This window comes from Homo sapiens, chromosome 6, assembly GCF_000001405.40.
Source record: "Homo sapiens chromosome 6, GRCh38.p14 Primary Assembly".
NCBI lineage: Eukaryota > Metazoa > Chordata > Mammalia > Primates > Hominidae > Homo > Homo sapiens.
In genome coordinates, this window is record NC_000006.12 from 87,032,056 (window position 1) to 87,039,248 (window position 7,193).

The 7,193-nt window shown below is 40.8% G+C and overlaps 1 annotated feature.

Annotated features, from left to right (window-relative positions):
- Positions 6,383-6,907: an enhancer, noted in NCBI's record as "NANOG-H3K4me1 hESC enhancer chr6:87748156-87748680 (GRCh37/hg19 assembly coordinates)". NCBI's record gives its function as "activates a minimal SCP1, AML or CMV promoter by ChIP-STARR-seq in naive H9 embryonic stem cells {active_cell/tissue: H9 hESC(naive)}" and the evidence as "EXISTENCE:reporter gene assay evidence [ECO:0000049][PMID:30033119]".

Below are 7,193 nucleotides of genomic sequence, written 5' to 3' on the forward strand. Positions count from 1 at the left end.
GAAGAAATTAATGAATGAATGCTATCACTGTGCTTATTTTATGGTTGAGGATATATAGACTCATAGAAACTAAGTAGCTTGCTCATGGTCCTGTAGCCAGTAAATGGCAGAGCTGGTTCTCTTCACCATGCCTCATGCACTGCCATGCCTTGTGCACATCCCCAGAGTTGCAGCAGCCAAGCCATCTAGTGCCTTGTCTCCTTAGGACTCAATCTTGAATATTAGCTCATGCTTCAAAGATACGGGACAAGTAAAAATTGTTCTATGACATTCAAAATCAAAACTCAAGTGCTAGACAGGCACACTTACATAGACAGGGTAAGAGATATATTTAAGATTGAAAGCGTTTTATTGCTTTGGCAGTTTTAAAACATAGCTCTAAACTATATGATACTACTCCCATCTTGAGGTGAGAGCTATGTCTCTTTTCTTTGAATCTAGATGAGTTTATGATTGACTAGACCAATAAAATAAAACAAAATTATACTTTGACATCTGAGGCTAGGTCAGAAAAGACCATCAATTTTCCATCTGGTCTTCGAATGCTTGCTCTGGAAGAAGCCACCACCGTGTAAGTTGACCTACCCTGAGACCACCATCCTGGAGAGCCCAGGTGTAAATGCTCTGATTGACAGTTCCAAGTGAGTTCCCAGCTGACAGCCAGCATCTACTTCCATGGGAATAAGCCATCTTGTAAGCCAAAGTGAGCCTTCGGAGGACTGCAGACCTAACTGACATCTGATAGCAAATGTGTGAGGCATCCTAAGCAAAAACTGCCTACCCAAACTCTTCTTGATTGCTAACAATTTTGTGGGCAAATAAATGGTGGTTGTGAGCCAGTACATTTTGGAGTAATTTCTTATACAGCAATAGTAATCAGAGTATTCCCCCACCAAATATTTATTTTTCTTGTTACCCTAAGCTCCTGAACAGTATCCTAAACACCGGAGAACCCTAACAATCATATCCAACTGTGCTTTGGATGTTTGTTAGATAAGTTTCCAACAAAGGCACATAGAAAACAAAAAAATTCATGAAACTGAAACAGAAGTACATAGACACATTTCTGAAAATTTAGGTTGATTGATTTTTACTTTTTAAAAAGCAATAAATAAAATATTGTTGTTTGGAATGAACACACGGAAAGCATAAATGGACTCAGGGCAAATGCACTCCAGAAAAACATGGAAGAGAGCCCTTATCCTCAGACCATTCTCATTTTTCAGACTATATGGATGACTTAAAGATGTCTTGATCGGCTGTCTCTGTATTTCCCTGATGCCAAATTCTGCTGCGGAGAATTCTCCTGAGGTACCTAGTCCCCTACACTTTAAATAGAGTACCCACCCAGGTATCCCAAAGCTCCTGTCCCTACTAGGGTGCTACCCACAAGGAGGACACAAGACTCTAACACTCATGAAAACAATCATCTCTATACCCTCCGTCTCAGGAAACTCAATGCCTAAAGGTTAGAATGCATGCCACTTCTCCTCAAGGCAAAAGTCTCCACCCCTCATCCAGAAAAATCTGTCCTCATTGACTTGAAAGTCCTCAGCCTTTGAAACTTAAAACCTCTCTCAGATTGTGCTTTCCAGGTATTAGTGTTTTTGGAAATTTCTTCATTAATCTCTGGCCCAAACAGACAGATGCATATACACAACCCACAATTGTTATTGTTTACTTTTTCCTGATAGTATAGAAATTCCAAAGTTTAAAAATACAACTAGTCACCAGTAACAGTGAGCACACTCAGTGCTCAGATCTTGGTTCCTAACACCATCCTCCAATAAAGGGAACTGGGGTGCCTTTAAGAAATGGCTGGTTCTACGGCTGGGGAAGGGAATATATAAAAAGAGTCTGAAGCATCTTGTAGTTCCAGAAAACAAAATGTGCCAAAAAACACAATGATAGGTGTATGTCGATGGGATACTGGAGCTGCCAATGGCCAAACCTAGACCAGTTTAAGCAACAAAGAAAATAACATAGTATTGGATTATAGCCAAAGTATAAAATAACTATCATGAGTCCATAAATATATAAATAAATGATTAAATAAATAAATGGGGTAAATAGAAAAATCTCCCATCAAGTTCTCCAAATAATGTAGATACTGCCCCTTCAAGAAGGCTCCCACTTCTTTAGTGTGGGCTGTGAAAAATGACTTTCTTCCAAAAAGTACAATGCAGAAAGGGAGGAAATTTTGGCTTCTGTTGCCATTGCTTTTGGTGTTTTAGACATGAAGTCCTTGCCCATGCCTATGTCCTGAAAGGTATTGCCTATGTTTTCTTCTAGGGTTTTTATGGTTTTAGGTCTAACATTTAAGTCTTTAAACCATCTTGAACTAAATTTTGTATAAAGTGTAAGGAAGGGATCCAGTTTCAGCTTTCTACCTATGGCTAGCCAGTTTTCCCAGCACCATTTATTAAATAGGGAATCCTTTCTCCATTTCTTGTTTTTGTCAGGTTTGTCAAAGATCAGATGGTTATAGATGTGTGGTATTATTTCTCAGGGCTCTGTTCTGTTCCATTGTTTTGGTACCAGTACAATGCTGTTTTGGTTACTGTAGCTTTGTAGCATAGTTTGAAGTCGGGTAGCATGATGCCTCCAACTTTGTTCTTTTGGCTTAGGATTGTCTTGGCAATGCTGGCTCTTTTTTGGTTCCATATGAACTTTAGAGTAGTTTTTTCCAATTCTGTGAAGAAAGTCATTGGTAGCTTGATGGGGATGGCATTGAATCTATAAATTACCTTGGACAGTATGGCCATTATCATGATATTGATTCTTCCTATCCATGAGCATGGAATGTTCTTCCATTTGTTTGTATCCTCTTTTATTTCATTGAGCAGTGGTTTGTAGTTCTCCTTGAAGAGATCCTTCACGTCCCTTGTAAGTTGGATTCCTAGGTATTTTATTCTCTTTGAAGCAATTGCAAATGGGAGTTCACTCATAATTTGGCTCTCTGTTTGTCTGTTATTGGTGTATAAGAATGCTTGTGATTTTGGCACGTTGATTTTGTATCCTGAGACTTTGCTGAAGTTGCTTATCAGCTTAAGGAGATTTTGGGCTGAGACGATGGCATTTTCTAAATATACAATCATGTCATCTGCAAACAGGGACAATTTGACTTCCTCTTTTCCTAATTGAATTCCCTTTATTTCTTTCTCCTGCCTGATCGTCCTGGCCAGAACTTCCAACACTATGTTGAATAGGAGTGGTGAGAGAGGGCATCCCTGTCTTGTGCCAGTTTTCAAAGGAAATGCTTCCAGTTTTTGCCCATTCAGTATGATATTGGCTGTGGGTTTGTCATAAATAGCTCTTATTATTTATTGAGGGTTTTTAGCATGAAAGGATGTTGAATTTTGTCAAAGGCCTTTTCTGCATCTATTGAGATAATCATGTGGCTTTTGTCATTGGTTCTGTTTATATGCTGGATTATGTTTATTGATTTGTGTATATTGAACCAGCCTTGCATCCCAGGGATGAAGCCCACTTGATCATGGTGGATAAGCTTTTTGATGTGCTGCTGGATTCGGTTTGGCAGTATCTTATTAAGGATTTTTGCATTGATGTTCATCAGCAATATTGGTCTAAAATTCTCTTTTTTTGTTGTGTCTCTGCCAGACTTTGGTATCAGGATGATGCTGGCCTCATAAAACGAGTTAGGGAGGAATCCTTCTTTTTCTATTGATTGGAATAGTTTCAGAAGGAATGGTACCAGCTCCTCCTTGTACCTCTGGCAGAATTCGGCTGTGAATCCATCTGCTCCTGGACTTTTTTTGGTTGGTAGGCTATTAATTATTGCCTCAATTTCAGAGCCTGTTATTGGTCTATTCAGGGATTCAACTTCTTACTGGTTTAGTCTTGGGAGGGTGTATGTGTTGAGGAATTTATCCATTTCTTCCAGATATTCTAGTTTATTTGTGTAGTGGTGTTTATAGTATTCTCTGATGGTAGTTTGTATTTCTGTGGGATTGGTGGTGATAACCCCTTTATCATTTTTTATTGCATCTATTTGATTCTTCTCTCTTTTCTTTATTAGTCTTGGTAGCAATCTATCAATTTTGCTGATCTTTTCAAAAAACCAGCTTCTGGATTAATTGATTTTTTGAAGGGTTTCTTGTGTCTCTGTCTCCTTCAGTTCTGCTATGATCTTAGTTATTTCTTGCCTTCTGGTAGCTTTTGAATGTATTTGCTCTTGCTTCTCTAGTTCTTTTAATTGTGATGTTAGGGTGTCAATTTTCAATCTTTCCTGCTTTCTCTTGTGGGCATTTAGTGCTATAAATTTCCCTCTACACACTGCTTTAAATGTGTCCCAGAGATTCTGGTATGTTGTGTCTTTGTTCTTGTTGGTTTCAAAGAACATCTTTATTTCTGCCTTCATTTCGTTATGTACCCAGTAGTCATTCAGGAGCAGGTCATTCAGTTTCCATATAGTTGAGTGGCTTTGAGTGAGTTTCTTAACCCTGAGTTCTAGTTTGAATGCACTGTGGTCTGAGAGACAGTTTGTTATAATTTCTGTTCTTTTACATTTGCTGAGGAGTGCTTTACTTCCAACTATGTGGTCAATTTTGGAATAAGTGTGATGTGGTGCTGAGAAGAATGTATATTCTGTTGATTTGGGATGGAGAGTTCTGTAGATGTCTATTAGGTCCACTTGGTGCAGAGCTGAGTTCAATTCCTGGATATCCTTGTTAACTTTCTGTCTTATTGATCTGTCTAATGTTGACAGTGGGGTGTTAAAGTCTCCCATTATTATTGTGTGGGAGTCTAAGTCTCCTTGTAGATCTCTAACGACTTGCTTTATGAATCTGGGTGCTCCTGTATTGGGTGCATATATGTTTAAGATAGTTAGCTCTTCTTGTTGAATTGATCCCTTTACCATTTTATGTAATGGCTTTCTTTGTCTCTTTTGATCTTTGTTGTTTTAAAGTCTGTTTTATCAGAGACTAGGATTGCAACCCCTGCCTTTTTTTGTTTTCCATTTGCTTGGTAGATCTTCCTCCATCCCTTTATTTTGAGCCTATGTGTATGTCTGCACGTGAGATGGGTCTCCTGAATACAGCACACTGATGGGTCTTGACTCTTTATCCAATTTGCCAGTCTGTGTCTTTTAATTGGAGCATTTAGCCCATTTACATTTAAAGTTAATATTGTTATGTGTGAATTTGATCCTGTCGTTATGATGTTAGCTGATTATTTTGCCCGTTAGTTGATGCAGTTTCTTCCTAGCCTTGATGGTCTTTACAATTTGGCATGTTTTTGCAGTGGCTGGTACTAGTTGTTCCTTTCCATGTTTAGTGCTTCCTTCAGGAGCTCTTGTAGAGCAGGCCTGGTGGTGACAAATCTCTCAGCATTTGTTTGTCTGTAAAGGATTTTATTTCTACTTCACTTATGAAGCTTAGTTTGGCTGGATATGAAATACTGGGTTGAAAATTCTTTTCTTTAAGAATGTTAAATATTGGCCCCCACTCTCTTCTGGCTTGTAGAGTTTCTGCCGAGAGATCAGGTGTTCGTCTGATGGGCTTCCCTTTGTGGGTAACCCAATCTTTCTCTCTGGCTGCCCTTAACATTTTTTCTTCATTTCAACTTTAGTGAATCTGACAATTATATGTCTTGGAGTTGCTCTTCTTGAGGAGTATCGTTGTGGCGTTCTCTGTATTTCCTGAATTTGAATATTGGCCTGCCTTGCTAGGTTGGGAAAGTTCTCCCGGGTAATATCCTGCAGAGTGTTTTCCAACTTGGTTCCATTCTCCCCGTCACTTTCAGTTACACCAATCAGACGTAGATTTGGTCTTTTCACATAGTTCCATATTTCTTGGAGGCTTTGTTTGTTTCTTTTTACTCTTTTTTCTCTAAACTTCTCTTCTCGCTTCATTTCATTCATTTGATCTTCAATCACTGATACCCTTTCTTCCAGTTGGTCGAATCGGCTACTGAAGCTTGTGCATTTGTCACGTAGTTCTCGTGCCATGGTTTTCAGCTCCATCAGGTCATTTAAGGACTTCTCTACACTGGTTATTCTAGTTAGCCATTCGTCTAATCTTTTTTCAATGTTGTTAGCTTCTTTGCATTGGGTTCGAACTTCCTCCTTTAGCTCGGAGTAGTTTGATCATCTGAAGCCTTCTTCTCTCAACTCATCAAAGTCATTCTCCATCCAGCTTTGTTCCATTGCTGGTGAGGAGCTGTGTTCCTTTGGAGAGGGATAGGTGCTCGATTTTTAGAATTTTCAGCTTTTCTGCTCTGTTTTTTCCCCATCTTTGTGGTTTTATCTACCTTTGGTCTTTGATGATTGTGACGTACAGATGGGGTTTTGGTGTGGATGTCCTTTCTGTTTGTTAGTTTTCCTTCTAAAAGTCAGGACTCTCAGCTGCAGGTCTGTTGGAGTTTGCTGGAGGTCCACTCTAGATCCTGTTTGCCTGGATATCAGCAGCAGAGGCTGCAGAACAGCGAATATTGCTGAATAGCAAATGTTGCTGCCTGATCGTTCCTCTGGAAGCTTCATCTCAGAGGGGTACCTAGCCATGTGAGGTGTCAGTCTGCCCCTACTGGGAGGTGCCTCTCAGTTAAGGTACTCAGGGGTCAGGAACCCACTTGAGGAGGCAGTCTGTCCATTCTCAGATCTCAAACACCCTGCTGGGAGAACCACTACTCTCTTCAAAGCTGTCAGACAGGGACATTTAAGTCTGCAGAGGTTTCTGCTACCTTTTGTTCAGCTATGCCCTGCCCCAGAGGTGGAGTCTTCAAAGGTATGCAGGCCTCCTTGAGCTGCAGTGGGCTCCACCCAGTTCAAGCTTCCCGGTTGCTTTGTTTACCTACTGAAGCCTCAGCAATGGCGGGCACCCCTCCCCCAGCCTCACTGCCTTGCAGTTCGATCTCAGACTGCTGGGCTAGCAATGAGCGAGGCTCCATGGGTGTGGGACCCCCCGAGTCATGCATGGGACAAAATCTCCTGGTGTGCCATTTGCTAAGACCATTGGAAAAGGGCAGTATTAGGGTGGGAGTGACCCAATTTTCCAGGTGCCATCTGTCACTGCTTCCCTTGGCTAGGAAAGGGAATTCTCTGACCCCTTGCGCTTCCCGGGTGAGGCGATGCCTCGCCCTGCTTCGGGTCATGCTCAATGGGCTGCACCCACTGTCCTGCCCCCACTGTCCAATAAGCCCTAGTGAGATGAACCGGGTACCTCAGTTGGAAA